This window comes from Homo sapiens, chromosome 9 (assembly GCF_000001405.40).
Source record: "Homo sapiens chromosome 9, GRCh38.p14 Primary Assembly".
NCBI classification, from domain to species: Eukaryota; Metazoa; Chordata; class Mammalia; order Primates; family Hominidae; genus Homo; species Homo sapiens.
The window spans coordinates 2,008,383-2,027,329 of record NC_000009.12 but is presented as its reverse complement, the minus strand read 5'-3'; the positions used below and the strand labels follow the sequence as shown (position 1 = coordinate 2,027,329).

General features: G+C 44.0%; 1 protein-coding gene across 4 annotated transcripts in view, besides 10 other annotated features; it reads right to left on the bottom strand.

The window, feature by feature from the left end:
• The window catches only part of SMARCA2 (SWI/SNF related BAF chromatin remodeling complex subunit ATPase 2), a 178,274-nt gene extending 166,291 nt beyond the window's left edge, over positions 1–11,983 (bottom strand). For 3 of the 4 annotated variants that reach the window (NM_003070.5, NM_139045.4, NM_001289397.2), the window contains exon 1: positions 11,926–11,983. The gene's annotated coding sequence lies outside the window, so the exon portion shown is untranslated. Of the gene's footprint in view, positions 1–5,212; positions 5,386–11,925 lie in introns of those variants that run through there. The other variant, NM_001289396.2, reaches the window with a different exon arrangement.
• Positions 3,727–3,776: an enhancer, noted in NCBI's record as "active region_28135". NCBI's record gives its function as "activates an Ori minimal core promoter by ATAC-STARR-seq in GM12878 lymphoblastoid cells {active_cell/tissue: GM12878}" and the evidence as "EXISTENCE:reporter gene assay evidence [ECO:0000049][PMID:35858748]".
• Positions 7,759–8,357: an enhancer, noted in NCBI's record as "OCT4-NANOG hESC enhancer chr9:2018973-2019571 (GRCh37/hg19 assembly coordinates)". NCBI's record gives its function as "activates a minimal SCP1, AML or CMV promoter by ChIP-STARR-seq in naive H9 embryonic stem cells {active_cell/tissue: H9 hESC(naive)}" and the evidence as "EXISTENCE:reporter gene assay evidence [ECO:0000049][PMID:30033119]".
• Positions 9,874–10,063: a silencer, noted in NCBI's record as "silent region_19731". NCBI's record gives its function as "represses an Ori minimal core promoter by ATAC-STARR-seq in GM12878 lymphoblastoid cells {active_cell/tissue: GM12878}" and the evidence as "EXISTENCE:reporter gene assay evidence [ECO:0000049][PMID:35858748]".
• Positions 10,214–10,323: a silencer, noted in NCBI's record as "silent region_19730". NCBI's record gives its function as "represses an Ori minimal core promoter by ATAC-STARR-seq in GM12878 lymphoblastoid cells {active_cell/tissue: GM12878}" and the evidence as "EXISTENCE:reporter gene assay evidence [ECO:0000049][PMID:35858748]".
• Positions 10,624–10,793: a silencer, noted in NCBI's record as "silent region_19729". NCBI's record gives its function as "represses an Ori minimal core promoter by ATAC-STARR-seq in GM12878 lymphoblastoid cells {active_cell/tissue: GM12878}" and the evidence as "EXISTENCE:reporter gene assay evidence [ECO:0000049][PMID:35858748]".
• Positions 10,981–11,537: an enhancer, noted in NCBI's record as "H3K27ac hESC enhancer chr9:2015793-2016349 (GRCh37/hg19 assembly coordinates)". NCBI's record gives its function as "activates a minimal SCP1, AML or CMV promoter by ChIP-STARR-seq in primed H9 embryonic stem cells {active_cell/tissue: H9 hESC(primed)}" and the evidence as "EXISTENCE:reporter gene assay evidence [ECO:0000049][PMID:30033119]".
• Positions 11,934–12,273: a silencer, noted in NCBI's record as "silent region_19728". NCBI's record gives its function as "represses an Ori minimal core promoter by ATAC-STARR-seq in GM12878 lymphoblastoid cells {active_cell/tissue: GM12878}" and the evidence as "EXISTENCE:reporter gene assay evidence [ECO:0000049][PMID:35858748]".
• Positions 12,324–12,373: an enhancer, noted in NCBI's record as "active region_28134". NCBI's record gives its function as "activates an Ori minimal core promoter by ATAC-STARR-seq in GM12878 lymphoblastoid cells {active_cell/tissue: GM12878}" and the evidence as "EXISTENCE:reporter gene assay evidence [ECO:0000049][PMID:35858748]".
• Positions 12,434–12,483: an enhancer, noted in NCBI's record as "active region_28133". NCBI's record gives its function as "activates an Ori minimal core promoter by ATAC-STARR-seq in GM12878 lymphoblastoid cells {active_cell/tissue: GM12878}" and the evidence as "EXISTENCE:reporter gene assay evidence [ECO:0000049][PMID:35858748]".
• Positions 14,694–14,823: an enhancer, noted in NCBI's record as "active region_28132". NCBI's record gives its function as "activates an Ori minimal core promoter by ATAC-STARR-seq in GM12878 lymphoblastoid cells {active_cell/tissue: GM12878}" and the evidence as "EXISTENCE:reporter gene assay evidence [ECO:0000049][PMID:35858748]".

The following is an 18,947-nucleotide window of genomic DNA, read 5'->3' as shown; positions in this document are numbered from 1 at the left end:
GCTAGGACTACAGGCGGCGCCACCGTGCCAAGCTAATTTTTTTTATCTTTTGTAAAGACAGAGTCTCACTATATTGCCCAGGCTGGTCTTGAACTCCTGGCCTCAAGTGATCGTCCCACCTCAGCCTCCCAAACCGCTGGGATTACAGGTGTGAGCCACTGTAGCCAGCTTCAGTTAATTTTATAAATAAAAACCACAGAGTCATCAGTGTTTGAGTTGTGTTCCCATAAAGAAATCCTTAAAGTGTAGGCAAGAATTTAGGCCATTTTGACAAGTAAATTAGAGCTGAAACAGGAAGCAGTCAAAGGCTACTTCAGAGTGATCATAAGCAGGGGATCAAAACAGGACTAAGGGAACCCAGTACAAGTGGCTTCTAAACAACAGGGGAGCCTCAACAGTGAATTACAGCCTTGAATTCACTAGAGAGCCCAATGTTATTATTTATTCTTTGTGATGAACAAAGCAGACGGAACTTTTTTTTCTTTTTGCTTTCCACCACCTCACACAGGTTCAGTCAGCATTTTAAATTTAGGAAGCTGACGTCGATTCAGGGCTACTACAAGATACAATGCTCTTTCATGTATATGAGCACACTAATACACCCTTTTATTTTTTAGTGAATAAAAGGAAATTGCTTACTTCCTGTTATGGTTTACACTGAAATCAGCTTCAATAGGTATTAAAGTAATATACCACGAGTTTGAACAATGAAGATACAAACACTGAAGTTAGGCTGATATTCCTACGTTTAATATAATTGATGTATATTAAACATGAAATTCTAATATACATTAGCCCATAATGCTACTTTCCACATGCATTATCATTTCCACCTGGGAATCTCAGAGAATGTTGTAATTACTCATACATAGTCCCATAAAAATGCTCCTCGTTTTTTTTGCTAAAGGAAACTATTAAAAACGTCTTAGAGGGAAAACATGTTGGAAGGGAAGTGGAAAATTACGGGCATATAATTGGAATGTTAATATAGGAACGTGTTATATAGGAAACTATTTAATAAGAAGAGAACCTCAGATGCCTGGACTTCAATGCATGTGTGTGGCTCAGACTAACAGTACAGTTTAACAAATGAAGAAATGTACCCTGTGCCATATAACTAATGAATGGCAGAGATCTGGACTCTCATAGAACGTGACGTGATATTCACTGATGTCTCACTGGGAGCTGAGAGACCTGGGTTCTGGTCTCAGGGTCACCACCAACTCTAGGGCCCTGGGAAAAGTGCCTTTCGTCTGGGGTCCTGACTTCCTCTAGGCTCAGGATAGGAGTATCTCAAAGGTCCCTTCCAGCTGTCCATCCGTGACTTGATGCCTGCTGCCTCCAGAGCATCTTGAAGACTTCATCCAAACCTGTGTGTTGGAAAGTCCATTAATGGACTTCCAAGGCAAAATCAGGGCTGCCCTAGGATCTGCTGTGGCTACCATCACCCAAGTAAACCCAAGGGGAGGACTCTCTAAGATGAGGCCTATAATCCTGGCCTCTTATTCTTCCTCTACATTTCGGGTGGCAATTTTATTTTACAGTTCAAGTATGTAATTAAACTTTCCCACAGTATGAAGAAACCTGGGGAAATAAATTAGAAAGAGGTGCTAGTCTCAAGCAGCACATCATTACTAAGTTAGTATGGTTAAGGTTTAAAGTCCAGTATTGGCCAACTCCACTTCTCCCTCACCAGCCCTGCCAGTATCCCCTGGACTCTCTACCCCTTTCTTCTCCAAAGCACTAATGAGACAATAGAGATAGGGTGGTGACGACAGCAGTAAGCATAGTAGGGTGGGCTGGAGGAGAGGGCCCAGATGGACTTCACAGGGCAGTGGTAGGTCTGCTCACATAATAACACACAAAATCTATTTTTATTTTGTGTTAGGAGAAGGAGGGAGTTTCCCGTTGTCACAGAAAAGAACGACCTGTTCCACAACTATGTGTCTGTGGCTAAAAACATAATGACAAAAATGTATCTGGGGAGAGGGGGGCACAGCAACCTCCCCATACACATGCATTGCTGGTCCCCACCCTCCCCCAGACCAGGACTCCCCGAGGGCCAAACCACTATGTTCTTAGGCAAGAATTTCTCAGCAGTATACTCTGTCTTGATTTCGTCCTTACTTCCCACTTTCCTACATTCACAACTAGAGAGTGTGTGTTTTTAAAAAGAAGAGGCCCCAGAGGAGCTTGCCAGAGCTCCAAACACCACAGTCATCCTCCCTCAGCCCAAATCTCCTCTGCCCTTAGCTGAAAGGCTCAGCACAGCCATCTGCATATTAAAAGGAGTTCAACTTCATGGAATTTTAAGGGTCACCACTCCAACCATGACAAAACTTGTGTCTTACAGTCTAATTGTAACCAACAGAAACACCAAAGACCCCCACATGTGGAGTAATATTTGAACACACCTACATGTGTTTCCTAATAATTCTGGTGATTTGAAGAGACATTTTGCCACAACGCCATTGAAAAGATGAGGGCAATAAGGCAGAAGGGGAAAACATGGCTTGCCCAAAGTAACATCTGCAACAGGAGAGAAACCGCAGGCAGAATCTTTTATCCCTTGACTCCCAGCCCAACACTGAGCTATGACACGGATCTAGCAAGCCATGTTTCCACCAGAGTTTTCACCAGGCCAGAGCAATGTGCAGGGGTAGAAAGTAGAAGCCAAAGAAAAAAAGGTCAGAAACAGTGGAAGGGATATCTTGCAAGGACTAGGCTTTGGTTGTGATAATATATTAACTTACCACAGGCTAGAGAAGTAAAGAGAAGCCCTGGAATGTGAAAAGAAGACCATGTCATCAACTGAAAAGGTCGATGATGTTTTAGTTACCATACCGAGTATCTACTAGGTACAAGGCATGCAGGCGGTACAAAAATGAATAGAAGGCTTACCCCACAACTCTGGAAGTCTGATACGGAAATCAGACTTGTGCGTAAGTAGCAACAAGATAAAAATATTGAAAGATCCTGCAGGACACGGAGGGGTACAGCCAAACTATCCAACACAGTCATAGAATGGGAGACATTACCTTTAGCTCAGAGGTTACAGGAGAGAAAGGAATTAGGTAAAGTGTAATGGAGAAGGTAGCATTTCAGCAAGGCCTTCAAGTTTAAAAAAAAGAAAAAAAGTTCCCTAGAAACTTTTGGTTTCTAGTCGCAGAGTTTGGGGCAGCACACCAACCTTGACAATATCTCTTAAATTGCTCTTCACCAAACTTCATAAGAAAGCACAAGGAAATCTTGGATCTCCAGCCTGTCTTTTTTCACAGCTCACTTTACAGAAAAACTTGGAGGTCCAGGTTAAAGGTGGAATATCAGAAATAAAAGTTAGGCCCAGTCCACATCTCCAAGAATATCCCAGTCTTATTAAAGTGTTCTGGCTGTTACAGGAGAACTGCAAGGTTCAGGAGATAGTTAAGATAAGAGTTCTTTTTATGTCTGTTTGCTGATTCAGAACATCTCCCCTGACCTGAAGGGCTGCCTCTTGTTTTGTATGTGGCTTTCTCTGTAAATGAATTGATAATTCACCCACAAGAAGTAGCAACATCTTCAGAACTGGGCCTCAAGCACTGTTATTCTTAATGGGGAAGCAGTGCGGGGTGGGTAAGGAGAACAGCAATGCAGATAAAGGAAATAAATCTACCCGAAGTTTCCTTTTTACAGGCCAAGGTTGTCGGGATAAGCGGTGAAACATTACCAAGGCCCACACTGCTTCTTGGTCTGAGCTGTGCAACTTTAAACAATGCATAATGTGATCTGTCAGATACAAATCACACCGGGTTCTAAAGTTAACCTTATAAGTTGCTCCATCAAGACCCTAGAAAATCACTGAGAACATTTCTTCAGCATTCTTGGGGTTATTCACAACACTTTCCCATTCGTTTCAAAGTCAAATATGTTTTTTAAAAGTTGTTAGATTAAAACTTTGCTCTGTTCCTTGGGCTTCTGTGAACTCTCCTTCATCTTTCAATCAGGGCAACAAATTAGGATGTGGGTGAGCTGCTACCCTCACTTTAAATAAACTGCCTTGGGAATGGTCCTTGCCCAGAGTCAGACCTGGCAAAGGCTGTGAGGCAGCTCTGTGCACAACAAAAGATAACAACAAACTCGGCAGCAGCTAATTAGTCCCCCATGAACCTCAGACACTGCCTTAATAGGATCCTGGCTCTTAACATTACCACCCTTATAGATACCATGAGTTGCCATCTCAAAAGAGTCTACCAGCGATGCAATTTCATGGCCTCTTCCATGAGGACTGACAGTGATCCCACAAAGGAAAAATTGTTTTAAAAAGGGAATTTACGAGAAAACCTAAGTGTTAGAAACCCTTTAGAGCAAAGCATCCTCTACTCTGAGACTCATGTCCATTAGTAGTTATAAAGGTAATCACAGATGAAAATCACTTTTAAAATTCAGTGGAACCCAAAGGGCTGGGCAAACTGGTCAAAACAAAAGCTAACAAACTGAACAAAAAAAAGTTAGTTTCAAATCATGACACCCTGAAAGGTAATATGTCACGTATATTTACACATATGCCTGTCTCTCCTAGGTTAGGCCCTTTTGCAAAGCAACCTCATTCTGGATGTTGATAAGAATCAACAACAGCCACTTCCTTTTCTGACTGCCAAGATAAGTTTATTTATACTTTAAACATATAAAAAGAAGAGTCTGAAATACATACTTTAAAAACCTGTGGTTAAAATGGCACATTTTTACTGAAGAGTAAAACTCAACCATCATATGCTGAATGAACTAAAGTTCTATCATAGGCACTCATTAATGTCAACTGGCCCTGACTTTCACAGTAGCAACAACAATTCAACAATGAACTCCAAGTTCATTGCAGTTAAAATGGATAATAGCCATTAATGATGTTACTATGCCTTTTAAAAAATCAACAAATGAGTTCATTTAACCTCTCTGAGTTTCAAGCTCCTTACCTACAAAATAGGCATAACAGTAGCTGACTACAACTTCAATTTTGATACGAATCAAATAAAATATGAGATATGAAGACACCTTGTGAGCTACTATATGCTCGCATTATTGCCAGGATCCTTCTAACAGCTTCAATTCCCACTCTGGACTTGAATCCACAATTTGCCAGATTAATCTAAAATATTGCTTTGTTCATGTATTCCCTTGTTCAAAACTTCTGAGACAAGCCTCCAATACAGATTGGATAAAATATTCATGCTTTAACCTGCAAGTCAAGTCTTTCCACAATCTCCGACTTTATCTTCTGAAAATTCTCCCCAACTGGAACTTCTTGCTCCAGGCAACCGGTCAAAACAGGTACATTGGTCTTTCCACGTTCCTTCAGGCCGGGTCTCTGTGATCTCGCCGGGTCTCTGTGATCTCGGGGCTTTCTTCTGATCTGGGATGCTCAGATGCCACCACCCCCACCTCTGCCCTCCCCCTACAGCAACCTTATCCCATCTCAAAGACCTTATCTACCCCATCAGCTCAAGAAAGCTCACCCTGATCTCTCTCTCTGTATCACATGGCCCATGCAGTTTACCATTTGTTACTTGTATTCAATATGCTATTATAAATACAATATTAAATGTTCAGGTACATTCTTTAAGACACATAAATTATCAATTACAGATCATCTATTTTTTACAGAATTTTGGACTCTGCTTAATGGTCTTTTAGTATAGCACAACAGCAAGCCACAAAATAATTGTGACTATTTGCAAAGCCATTTATTACATGTCCAGTTCAACAAAGCACAGGGGGGAAGATGGGAGAGGGCTTTCCTTCTGGACATCCAATATCCATGTGTGATAAAGCATCTCCCAGTGGGATGGTAAAAACTGAAATATACCACATCAAGTAGGTAAAGAAATATATAATCATCCTGAACCAGAAAAATACAGTTTAAGTGCAAACTGATACAGAATTTCCCTTGGATAACCTGTAAGCCAACATATGACGTTCCTTTTTGGTTAGAGATTTTTATCATTTTTAAGTAATTTTGAATTCCAAATTCTGAGTTTAGTTGTTTTTGTTTTTTTTAAAGGAGGGAGTTTCAATTATATTTAATGGTTTTCAAACTTTAAATATTATTTCAACTTCTGTGGGTCCCATTCATCAACTTACAAAAGGGCCAGCCCATATTTAAATTAGGCCAGTTTCTAAAAAGTTTCTAAAATATTACTGCTTGCATAGATGTAGATGACATACTGGCATAAGATTGATGCTTAAATTGATACTAATCCACCTAAAAATACTATAGAATATTGTGGTTTTAAAAACTGTTGTAAATCTTACAGGTATACGGCCAGATTACAATTGTTCAAATATTCTGGAAGTCGTAGCTATCTAATAAAATATCCTAATTCATACTAGGCTTCAATTATATAATAATGTATTACAAACCCAGAAGTCCAGAAGGACATTATGTCAGAGTTTCAGGCCAAAATCTTGTATTCCATATCTAAACCATCACTCCAAATGTGTAAATTAATGAGGTGTTTATATCAAACATTCAAAAGACCAGCTATTTTGTTCCTGAATTTCATTGGCTCTATTGTATGTTTTTCTGAGGTACAATTATTCAAGCATCTTTGACGATATATTTATAACTTTTACTACTTAAAAGCTCTCTTTAACATATCCTACACTTTCAAGGAAAAGTGCTATATTAACATGGGTAATAATAAACTCATAATAAACAGTAAGAAAGCTGCAGTTTTGCCAGCCCAGGTTGCAAGATCCCATTTAACTTAATGATAAATATCTTACGTAAATAAATATGCTCTCTTTCATAATGACTCTGGCAGAACATAGTTTTAGACTCCTATAGTCCCTAGTAAGTATAAAGTCATAAGTTTCTATATAGAAAAAATAATCACTCCAGGCCTTCCTAAATATGCTATCAAATAAATTACCACCATGTGTATTTTCTATTCACTACTTAGCGAATGACCCATGGCTTTATTAACCGGCTAAAGGTTAGAGTCCCCTAATAAGAACGCTTCCAAAAATGACAGAAAATTCACATCCTCTATTGGCCAAAGACATCTCCAAAACACAATATTTAAGGGGGAAAAAAAAACAATTTAGAAGATAATTCTTTTACATTAAAAAGGAGAAATCAGAAATAGCCCCTAAATGTGGCTTTCATACTAGGGAAATTTTCTCATCTGTTCACAAGAAATACAGCAGAAAAGAAATGTAACTCATATAGTTTTCTAAGGTAACTCAAGTTAACCAAAGAATTTGTCCCTATCGTCCCTTAAATCATCTTGACCAGAAACAGAATCAAATCTTAAAGTGGTTAAATCAGGTCCTACCAACACTCCTTCCACTTGCAAATGCTGGGAAACAGTCCTTAGTATTACATATGTGATAATTCAGTTGTCCTCATGGCACCATGTCAAGATGTCATAAATAGTGATTTATTATTTCTCTGGGGTATCAAAAAGCTGCTGACCTAGAAGAGTTTGACAAAGGCCTTGTTTACAAAGGAAGATTTCTAAAGGAGAAAAAAAAAAAACAAGAAAACACTGGAGGACAGCACCACTTTTATAATTTATAAAACTCTTCTTTTTATGCTCTTGCTGTAATACATAATAATAAATGTCAAAATATTACAACAATATAAGGAGCATCACAATTACCTTTTAGAAAAGGATGTGATATGCTTTTATACTGGCCTGTAGAATGATTTATCTTAAACTTAATAAAAGAAAAAAATTTTAAATACTTATCTGCACAAGTGTCACTTTCTAGTTATACCATGTCAGGAATACTTTAAATAGAATTCAAGCATTAACAATATAATACAAGCCGAGGCACTTTTTTTTTTTTTTTTTTGTCAATTCTAAGCCTCAGGTGTTGGTCAAAGCACTTTTCAAGAAACTTGACGAGAAATGCTCAAAAACCACTTTACAAACGAACAAAAGAAAAGATCTAAGGCTGCTTTGAACATGCTCTTGTGGTGAATATTTTCTGTGAAACACCACAGTGCACCTAGTCCTGATGCTGGGCTGTTACTGATATAAGTCATAAGAGAAAGGCTGCATTGAAGGAAGCCCTCCCTCCCCTCACCCTCTTCAAGGGTTCTGATACCCCACATTCCTCATTCATTTGAAATGTTCTTTACAAAAATGGCATCTCTCTGATGCCCCCAAGGTAGACGGACCTCTGATCTACTGGGTTGTTTTTTTTTTTCCCCTCAGTCTACCGCAATAAGTATCTTTTGGACCTAACAGGTGTCTCTAAATCCCCTCTTTACAATAGCAAACATTTGCATTGTAAAGAAGCATTTGAGGAAAAAAAGAAAGAAAGTCCAAGAGAATAAAAGAGCAATTAGATTCCTCAAAGAAAAAGTGTGTCTCATTTTGCATAACAATGCAGCAACTAGGATTCAAATCTGCCACGCCTCTTAACACTTCACCAGTGTGCTAGAGGTAGCCTGGAAGCCTAAAACTCCAATGCTGGCCAACAAGCTTCTGGTTGTGGCCCCCCTGATAACAGATGGAAAATACTACTGAAAATATTTGAATGTGAATATGTAAGTATACACACACATAACATTGGGTATGGCTTTTTAAATTATTATTAGGGTTCTCAATGGTTTCTGAGTCTTTGGTGGTTGGATAGAAATTTTCTGCTACTCAACGCCCAAGCAACAATCTCATTATTTATGCAAGCATTCTGTTCAGACAAGCAAGGCACACAACCAGGTGTAAATTTTAAGTCCTTTGAAATGGAAGTTTGAAATTCGATATTGGTAACGCAGAAATGTTAAAAATAACCGCTCAGTGCAGTCAACAAACTGTGTATCCTTAATGTCTTCCTTGAGCTCTAACAGTACACATACAAAGTCATACATGCCTACATAATGACCAGAAAGGAGACAATGATGACACCTCTCCAAAAGATTACTAGCCCAGGTCGCTTTGCTTTTTCCAAAGCACCAACCTCCATCAGGTTAGGGAGGAGGAAAAAAAAGAGACAACCTTGCAAAACTCACCCAAAAGTTATATAAACAAAGGAGGGGAGAAGCCCAGTCTAGGCTTTGCACCCATGTGCCACTAAAATTACATAACACCCGGTGCAGACATTGAATAAGGAATGGATTCTGCACAACACCCCCACTCCCTCGATTCCCAAGCCTTCCTCATTCCCTTAAAAAATCCAAACGCCTAGCAAGAGCTAGTGGACGACTTTGAATATTTATTTTATTGCTGGAGTAAAACCTGCGAGAGTTGGAGGTACGTTTAGGCCCGAAGTTTGAATGTGCAACAGCCCCGGGCGCAGCGACTCACACTCTCCGGACCCGGAGGAGAAAGAACTGACAAGCAACAGCGGCCAGCAAGGCCTTCTTCCCCCTCATGGTGCCTCCCGCTGGAAAGTTTTCCACGCAATCGATCGGAGGACAAGGAGCCCATTTCCCCCGCCTGCCTGACTTTGCAGGAAAGGCGAGCCGGGAGACCGGAGGGGGCTGGCAGGGAAAGAACTGGAAAGCTCCGCACACAGCCGGCGGCAGGGCTGCGCAGGCTCCTTACCTGGAGGACGCGGAACAAAAAGGGGCGCGGGGTTCGCGGAGCTTGGGGTGGCGGCGCGGCCGGCGGACGGGAACCGGTCTCCGAGCCGCGGCTCTAGGCCCGCGCCACAGCCCGCGGCCCGGCCCCCGCCGCTGCCGCTTCCTCCCTCGCGCGCGTCATGTCACGGCAATCAAACATGTCTGTGTGCTGTGTGCGCTTCGCTGCTGTGACTTCCTGATTCTCCGCCGCTCGCGCGCGCACACACACACACTCACAACCACACGCACACGCCACCCCCACCAGCCCTCGCCACCAAACCTCGCCTTGTCCTCCCCGGGCTCCAGGGGAGGGTGCGGGCAGGAGCAGCTGCCCGAGCCGCTGCTCCCGACGCACTGGCTCCTGCGCGCACAACACACACTCACACTCACACTCACGCGCAGACACACTCGCGCCGGCCGGGAGGGCGCGGAGGCTGGAGCCGCGGGAGCTCGCAGCCCCCTCCCACCCCTCCACCCTACTTAGCCGCCCTGCCAAACTTTTTTTTTCCTGCCTGATCCACGTCCAACTTCCCTCCACCCCACCCCCCAAGCAGCCCAGCCAGCCCCGCGCTCACCACCATCCGCAGCAAACGGCAACCCGGATAAAAATAATAATGCAATCCAGGCGGCAGAGGCGGAGGCGGAGGCGAGCGATCAGACACTGGCAGGAGGCGATTTCCCCGCGTGTACCGGAAACCGGCCCAAGTGCCCCGGCCAAGGCGCGGGTGTCCGCCGGAGCCCGCACTGCCGCGCCCCGCCCTCCGCCGTGTAACTGCACCCAGGCTGCGAGGCCTGGTGCGGGGCACCGGGAGCACTGTGCTCCGTGTGCGCCCTGCGGCCGGAGGGCGCCGAGGGGCTGGCGCGCCGGACCGGTTATTTAGGGAAGTGCATCGCGACACCTTTGCAGATGGCATGGCCGTGTTTTGCAACGCAAACGGGAGGAAGGGAAGACGGCCGGGTGGAGGGGGAGAGCAAAGGAAGGGGTAAACCAGGTTGGGATGGGAATAAAGCAAACTCCTGAGCAGGGAGCGAGAAGGAAGGAGTGCGTGTCATCGTTGGGAGGAGGCTCCTACCCGGTCTCCCCGCCTCCCGCCCTCGCCACCCCCCTATTCCCTCCCCACCGCAGCCCTTCCCCTTCCCGGGCGAACCACACCGCCGCTGCCCGGTGGTGCGCGGGTCCTGTTTGTGACAGTCAGGCAGACAGGATTATCCGGATCATGGCCTCCCGGGCCCGCAGCCGCCGCCGTGGCTCTCCTGGGTCCCGGCGCGCCCCTAGCACCCGGACGATCGCAGGCGCCCCACGCCCGCAGCTCCCGCGGCGCAAGCAAGGGGAAGACGCGAAGCAAAAGAACACGGACCCGGGGAGAGGGAGGGCAGGGTAACGGAGGCTGGCGGGCACCTCCGACCTCCTTGGGGGCCTCCTCCCTTCCCTCCAGCAGTGCGGCCCGGGCCGGACATCCCGAACTTTAACACCCGAGCCTGCGCTGCCGCCAGGTACCAGAGGCAGGGACGTCCGCAGCGCCCGGGGCGCAGCCCCCTGGCAGCCCCTTTGCCTAAAGGCCTGCCTACCAATCAGCCTCCCCATCCACGCCGGAGGAAACGCGGAAAGTGGAGGTGACACCTCCGATCAGGCACGCACCGGCCCCGCGGCAGTGGCCGCTACCTCCTTCGCGCGTCAGCTCAGGCTTCTCCCGCTGCGATCCGCTCACGTCTCCGCAGCCGGAGCCCTTTGAACAAGTCCCTGGGAAGCGGGTGGCAACAGCGTCCGTTGGCGCCCCGCCGCCAGCCTGGGCTCCCCGCCCTCCTTTCCCGTTCCCCTTCCAACTCTTCCGGGGAGGGTTGCCCGGGATGAACAGTAGCGTTTCCATCCTCCTCCCCTGTCCCCCAGGCCTTCCCCCTCCTGCGGCCACCCCCCTCCCCGCCGCCTCACTTTTAAGGGGATGGGGGGATTGCAACCTGGCCCAATGTGTGTGTTGCAACCTTGAGTTGGCAGCGCCTCTGACTGCCCACTCAGGATCAAGGCTGTGGCTTGTTGGGATTTTTTTCCTCCTTTGCCCCCTTGAAGTAGTAATTATTACTGTTATTATTAGAACAGCAAGGTTCGGTTGAAACTTTCTCGTTTCTTCCACCGCCGCCTGGGAGCTGTCGTTAGAGCATTCCACCTGAGGCCCGCGGGGAGGAGGCGGGCTTTTTTTTGTCGCGGCGGTTGGCCCGCCTGTTTGTTTTGGTCTCCTTGCATGCACAATAAATAATAATTAGGATAATAATGGATAATCCCGGGCGAAGGCGGCGTGGTGCCGGAGGGGTCTGAGCGGCGGCTGCAGCGGGGCGGCCGAAGGGAGGGGAAAGAGGAGAAAAGAGTTGTAAGTTATATTTACCTTGCTCGCGAGGAGTGTGCTGGCTGAATCTCTTCCCTCTCTGAGTCACCCAGAGTACAGAAACAGAGGGAGAGAGGACTAGATTATGAATATGACTTCATTGATGACAGCCGTCCCCTCCTCTTCCTAAACTCGGGCTCCGCCCAGCGTCCCACCCTCGCCTCCTCCGCGGGCGCCGGAAGACGCGCCGCAGTTGGCCCCGCGCGCCGCTCCTCCCTGCCCGTCCGGGCGCGGGTTGGCGGGACGCGCCTGTCACTCGCTCAGCTCAGCGACTCCGGGAGCGCGGGGGGAGGAGGGGGCGGTGTGCAAGAATGTGGATCTAGACAGCTCTACTGTATGCGTGGATCCGTGTGTGACTGCAAGGCGCCGGCTCTCGGGCCGCGTTTGTGCCTGGAGCAGAGAAACTGCGCGGGATGCAGAAAGCCCCAAGCCCTGCTGGAGCTGGGCGCCCGCTGTCCCTTCCCTGGCAGTCCTCTTCCTCGGGCGCCGCGGGGCTCCTCCAGGGAGACTGCGGAAGGGGAGGAGGCGAAGCGAAAACGGAGGGCAGCCGTAGTAATAGCGCGTAGTAGTTCGGGGGTATGTGGAGAAGGTGCTGGAATTTAACTGTGCCTCCGCCTGCCAGTGCGAGCCTGCAGAGAGAGAGGGAGGGGACGGGGGACGGGCTCCGAGTGGCACCAAAGCTGTTTGTGGCACAGTGTGGACTGTGGAAAAAACGGGCATTGTCGTGCCGGCTGAAACTTTTTCTCCCCCTTCCCTAAGGCTGTCATTATAAATCTGCCCCCTATTCCAGGTAAAAAAATAAAAAATAGAAAAGGGAGGCGGGCACAAAGAACGTTCCTGCCAAATCTGTCTCTTCCCTGAAGGACTGCAAGCTTCCAAATGCCAACGAGGGAGAAACAGCTGAGAGGCTGAACGCCTTATAAATAAGTAAACCCACCCTAACCTCTCTGTTTACTTCGTGGACTAGGTACAGCACTATAACCTTCCCTCACCTGCCATCTTCGCTAAAATATATACAAAAATATGGAAAAACAAACCCTGGGGGCGGGGCTGGCGGGTTAGGGGGCGGCTGAAGCATGGAATCTGGTTTTGATTTAAAAAGGGGAATAAATCTCTTATTTTCTACAGACCGTAGTCTCTTCCCTCTCACCCCGCATTTGAGACCAATTAAGGCTGCAAATTGTAATTTGCTGGCAAGTCGCGGTTTTGAGACCTCTTTGCTCCAATTTTCCTTGAAATACAGTACTTTGGCCGGACCAATAGGTCGGTGTTTGGTGAGACAATTTTATTTTTAGTTTTATGAAGTGTGAAAGAATGTTAGGAGACTTTAAATCAGGGGCCTATTATTTTAGACTCAGATTAATGTAGATGCTTGACTCTTAAAACTGTTCCTATGCAGTAGTGTTATGAAAAGTATGATTTATCCCTTATTTCGTAATGTAATGGCTTAAATTAGTCATTCAAAGTGCACTGTGACTATCTGGTTGAGGATTCTTCCCCCTAGAGTAAAATCCTATTTTAAGACCATTTTACTGTTGCAAAATTGACTCCATTTGAGCAACTGGGTCTGAAATGCAGTTCTAGGATGCTTAAAACTTCAGGCTGGATAAGTTGAAGACAAGAAGTAATGGAAAGAACGCCAAATACTGCCATGTAGTCATTAAGAAGCAAGAATTCTTTATATCACTGGTCCACTGCTGGCTGAAGCAGAGCCCACTAGGGCAGCATTTTCATGATGGCTGGGAGTGTTGGTGATCACCCACCCTATAGCTTTCTAAGGTCTTGCTACTTGCTTGTTAACTTTAGCTTCATCATTTTCTGTCTATCTTGAAGTGAACCTCAAGACAACGAAAGATAACACAGCTAAGAGAAATAGAATATAGTGTGCCCTGAAGGATCCATTGTAAGAACTTGTTTTTCTGCCTGAGGATATGCCGGTATAACTATTAACTGAGAAATATATAGGGAGAAATTTTAAACAAGACTAGTAGTATAGTAAAAGTGTAACATAAATACTAACTTCTAACTGCCTAATAAGTCGCAACTAATAATATAGCCAGATAACCTACCTGTCTCTAATAAAGAGATTTAACCTAATAGCAATGCTTATTACATTGAGAGTATTAGGTTTTAATTTTTTTGGGGTCTAATTTGTTTCTCTGGCATGCCGGCCTCACATGCCAATTTTCAGAAATTGATAACTTCACTTTTATTCCCTTGTGAATAAATGCCCTTTATCCCCTTAAGATTCTACTTCCACTTGCCATGCAAATCCTCAAAAAAACAAAAACAAAAACAAATCAATTAGTAAGTCCCTGGAGAAAGAAACTGTCCATTCCTTCTGGCATTTTGTCACAGGGAAAGTAAAGAAGAAAACATTCCCTTTGTTATATGTGTATATTCTTCAGCTCATATAAAATTTTGATGTTGTCCTTGGAGGCGTTGGTATCCACGCATTGTATACACACAGCTATGGGAATTAAAATACATCGTTGGGAACAGAGATTAAATATAGATATTGCATCTCCCTCTCCCTTCGCATTGGTCTAAGAAAGCACCACCTTCCCCCATCACCCTTCAAGTTGTTCCTCTAAAAATTCGTCTTGTTTGTAGTTTGTACCCTAGCAGTTACGAATTTTATAAAATAAGGCCTCAACACAGGAGAAATGAAAAGGCAGCGTCATTCACTTGGTACAAAAAGAAGATTGTAGAACATATAGCATGAGTTTCACCTCTGAGGTAAAACGAAATTTAACAATTGAAGTTAAGGAGGAAAATGATGGGTTTTTTTTGTTTTGTTTTGCAGAAAATCATACAAAAGCAAATGTGGTTGGAGGGTAAAAGGACTCCAGGAGGCTGCACAGGGTGCTACGTTCACACGCAGCTTTTCTTTTTGGACTTTGATGAGTCATAATGTGTTCTCTGAACTTGCTTTTCTCTTTCTAGTTTGGTATCAAAAGATAGAAGTCACTTTTTCATGTCTGTATGGCCACATTCACTTGTTATGTAAGTCTGCTTTGGTTACATTCTGTATAGAGTAGATACTGGGTTTAAAACTTGGTATCTGGATACAACACCCTCATAAAGAAAAATTCCATGCACAACGTTAGGAAGCTTCTAGTCCCAACAGACAAACTGTTAATGCTGCCTGAAATGTTGCCTAGCTTCAAACACGAGCAGGTAAGACCGTTTAGGCAGTGAGTATTTCATCTTCAGTAATGGAAACCAAGATTTGACAAATTGAATCAGCTGACATTTAATTTAAAGAATAGTTTAGAATTAACAAGTAAATTTATTACAGAAATAAACACTCCTCTCTCTCCTTTTTTCTTTTTTTCCTTTTTGAGTCAGAGTCTCGCTCTATTGCCCAGGCTGGAGTGCAGTGGCGGGATCTTGGCTCACTGCAACCGCCGCCTCCCAGGTTCAAGGGATTCTCGAACCTCAGCTTCTCGATTAGCTGGGATTACAGGTGCCCGCCACCATATCCAGCTAATTTTTGTATTTTTTGTAGAGACAGGGTTTCACCATGTTGGCCAGGCTGATCTGGAACTCCTGAACTCAAGTGATCCACCCGCCTCTGCCTCCCAAAGTGCTAGGATTACAGGGGTGAGTCACCACACCCCGCTCTCTCTTTTTTTTCTAATGGGCATGTTCAATAAATTATGTTTTTCACAATCATTCCCCCAAAATACCACCCCCAATTCTCTTTATGATTATATCGTTCTTTAGCTTAAAATCCTTTGTCTATTCCCAATCCATTTTACGGTAAGTTTCAAACTTCTTGGCATGTTATCCTAGGCTGTGCATAGACAGGTCTCTACCAGCGTTGTTGACCCTGCCGCCAAAAATGCCTGGGCTCAGGGAAAACCTGTCTACCGTTTGGTTCCTAAGTGACCACATTGGACATTCTCCCCTCTGACTGAAGTGCAGATCCTCAACCCACATCCTCAAAACTCAACTATGACCCAGAATCCTTCTAGTGGTCTTCCCTGTTCTCCCCAGGCAGAGGAAGCTGCTTGTCCTACTCTGCTCCCATAGCAACCGGTGTGCGCCTCCATTATAGCACTTATCACTTTGATGCAATTATTTGTTTGGTGTTGTCCTCTAGATGGTTAGTGCCTGGAGGGTGTTTCGATTCATCTTTGAAACCTCAGCAATTACCCTGATACCTAGCACATTGTATTTAAAAAAAGAAAAGAAAAAAAAACTTTGTTGAAGGAAAGGATGAGAGATAGATAATAAAATTACCTGACATAGAAAATTTAGCCGGTCTTCACTATTAGTAATTATCATGTTAATGAACAACATCAGTAAGTGTTCCGAATCTTTACAGTATCTGCCAAGGCTTGAAAACGCTTGGAAAATGTGTTTGGTTTTTGTTTGGTTTTGTTTTGTTTTGTTTTGGGGAGGGGGGATGTGGGAAGATGAGGAGAAGCTACAGCTCTTGTAGTCATAGAAAGAGCACCGACAAGAGGTTTTGTTTGTTTTTAAATTAGGCTAGGAGTAACATGAATGCATACATGGCAATTGTTTAATACAGTAGTCACAATTATAATTGCAGCTCCTTTTTATTTCTCTTTTAAATTACATGCCTGAAGTTGTACAGAGACTTGTACATATGTTGTTTAATCCATTTAACCCTACGAGATCTATGACTTCATCTCCATTTTACAGGTGAGGAAACTGAGAATCAGGAAGTAATTTGCCTAAGGCAGGGATCTCCAAAGCGGAGTGACCAAGACAATTTACTGTGAAATAGGAAGAACAGAAGAAAATCTGTTTCTTTTTTCTTTAATAATTGAAAAAAGTAATGATGCAAGGACAAAAAAGAGCTTTATGTATATTTATTATACTCATTGACCCTTGACCCTAGAGTGTTTTACATGGTCCCTAAGTAAACTGGTCATGTGTCATGTAGTGTAGCTGAAGAGTACTGAAAAACAAAAAGCGCCACAGGCAGAGGGGTGATACTGGCACCTTCTGGTTCTTTCATTGTCATTGACATCTTTTTAAGCATTGATATTGCCTTAATTTTACAGGTTCCACGTTAAATAAATTCTTAAGATTATATCATCTAGTTTTTTTTTTTGTTTGTCTTTGTTTTTGTTTTTGTTTTTTGAGACAGATCTCGCTCTGTTGCCCAGGCTGGAGTGCAGTGGCTTGATCTCTGCTCACTGCAAGCTCCGCCTCCCGGGTTCACGCCATTCTCCCGCCTCAGCCTCCCGAGTACCTGGGACTACAGGCGCCCGCCACCACGCCCGGCTAATTTTTTGTATTTTTAGTAGAGACGGGGTTTCACCGTGTTAGCCAGGTTGGTCTCGATCTCCTGACCTCGTGATCCGCCCACCTCAGCCTCTCAAAGTGCTGGGATTACAGGCGTGAGCCACCGTGCCCGGCCTATATCAATCAACTCTCTTATTTGGGGAGCACGTGGCTTAAAAAACAATTTCTGTGAGGAAATAGAAAATTGAGATAATACCAATAATATAAGCACAGGTGAAAATCAGGATCAAATTTGCCAGTTTAACCTCTGAGAACTCTTTTCCAGCCAAATTGAGGACTAAAACAATGACAGCCTAATGAGATCTAACAAGAAATAGGTCAGGCCGGGCGCTGTGGCTCACGCCTGTAATCCCAGCACTTTGGGAGGCCGAGGCGGGCGGATTACCTGAGGTAAGGAGTTCGAGATCAGCCTGGGCAATACGGTGAAACCCTGTCTCTACCAAAAATACAAAATCAGCCGGGCGTGGTGACACACGTCTGTAATTCCAGCTACTCGGGAGGCTGAGGCAGGAGAATCGCTTGAGCCTGAGAGGCAGAGGATGCGGTGAGCCAAGATCACGCCATTGCACTCCAGCCTGGGCAACAAGAGTAAATCTCCATCTCCCCCCAAAAAAAAAGAAGAGAAAAAAAAGAAATAGGTCAAAAACATTCATAATTTTCCAGGACTATTTGAAATTTGGATTTATATTAACTTTCATAAATGATTAATTCTGTTCTAAGCATGTATGTTTCCTTGAGATACTATTGATTGTATGATAGCATGCTTAGCAAGATAATTGAAAATTTTCTATTCATCTTATTCTTTTACAATTTTTATTTTGTGTATGTTTTATAATGCACATAATATATTAATAATGAATACATGTGTTATGAGTAAATATACATAAATCATGCTCTATCTTTTTTTTTTTTTTTTTTTTTTTTTTTTTTGCTTTTTAACTGTAAGGGGTATGTGATTAAACAACTTGGAGATGACTAAATGATGAAGTCAGAATTTTTAACTAAGCTTGGTAGAACTCCACACTCAAGAGTAATCTGTGTTGCTCATGTAAAAACTGCCCCAAAATTTGTCATCAGTACAGGGTTCTTAATCCGTGATGGAGGGTTGATGGGGGTGGAATACAAATGATCTTTGGAACATCTAAGAATCCCCTGAAACTGTGTTCAAAATCCTAGGATCGTGTTAATGTATGCTTTCTGCAGACAGAGTCTGTACATTTCATCAGATTCTCAAGGGGATCTTCCCGGAAAGGGGTAAGAGTCATTGACCCAGAGGTATCAGCAGCCTCAATAACCTAGGATAATTTTCTGGTAAGAAATTAATCCTCTCCATAACTTTTATAAAACTAAGTGTGCACATTTTGTATATCCAAACATATCTACCCTTTAAAATCCTAATTCAGTGTTTCTTTAGGTAAACCAAATGCATTCTAACTGCCCAAAGAAGGACTCCATTTATCTCCAGAGATGGGCTTTCTGAGGATAAGTTTATTCTAAAGCATTTCCTCAATAATACTGCATTATATATTGTTGACTAGACTAGAAAGAATTTTTTGTGTTGTCATCAATATATCTTTGAGGTTTTGACACATCTTTGGGCAGTTGTACATGAGGAATCAGAACATGAATTCAGGTTCTCAAATTTTCTGTCGTAAATTGTTCAGATATTTTCACTTTTGTTTGGCCATTGTACCTGCTACCCTTTGTTCTGTGCTGTGCTTCTCTGATTGATAATGTGC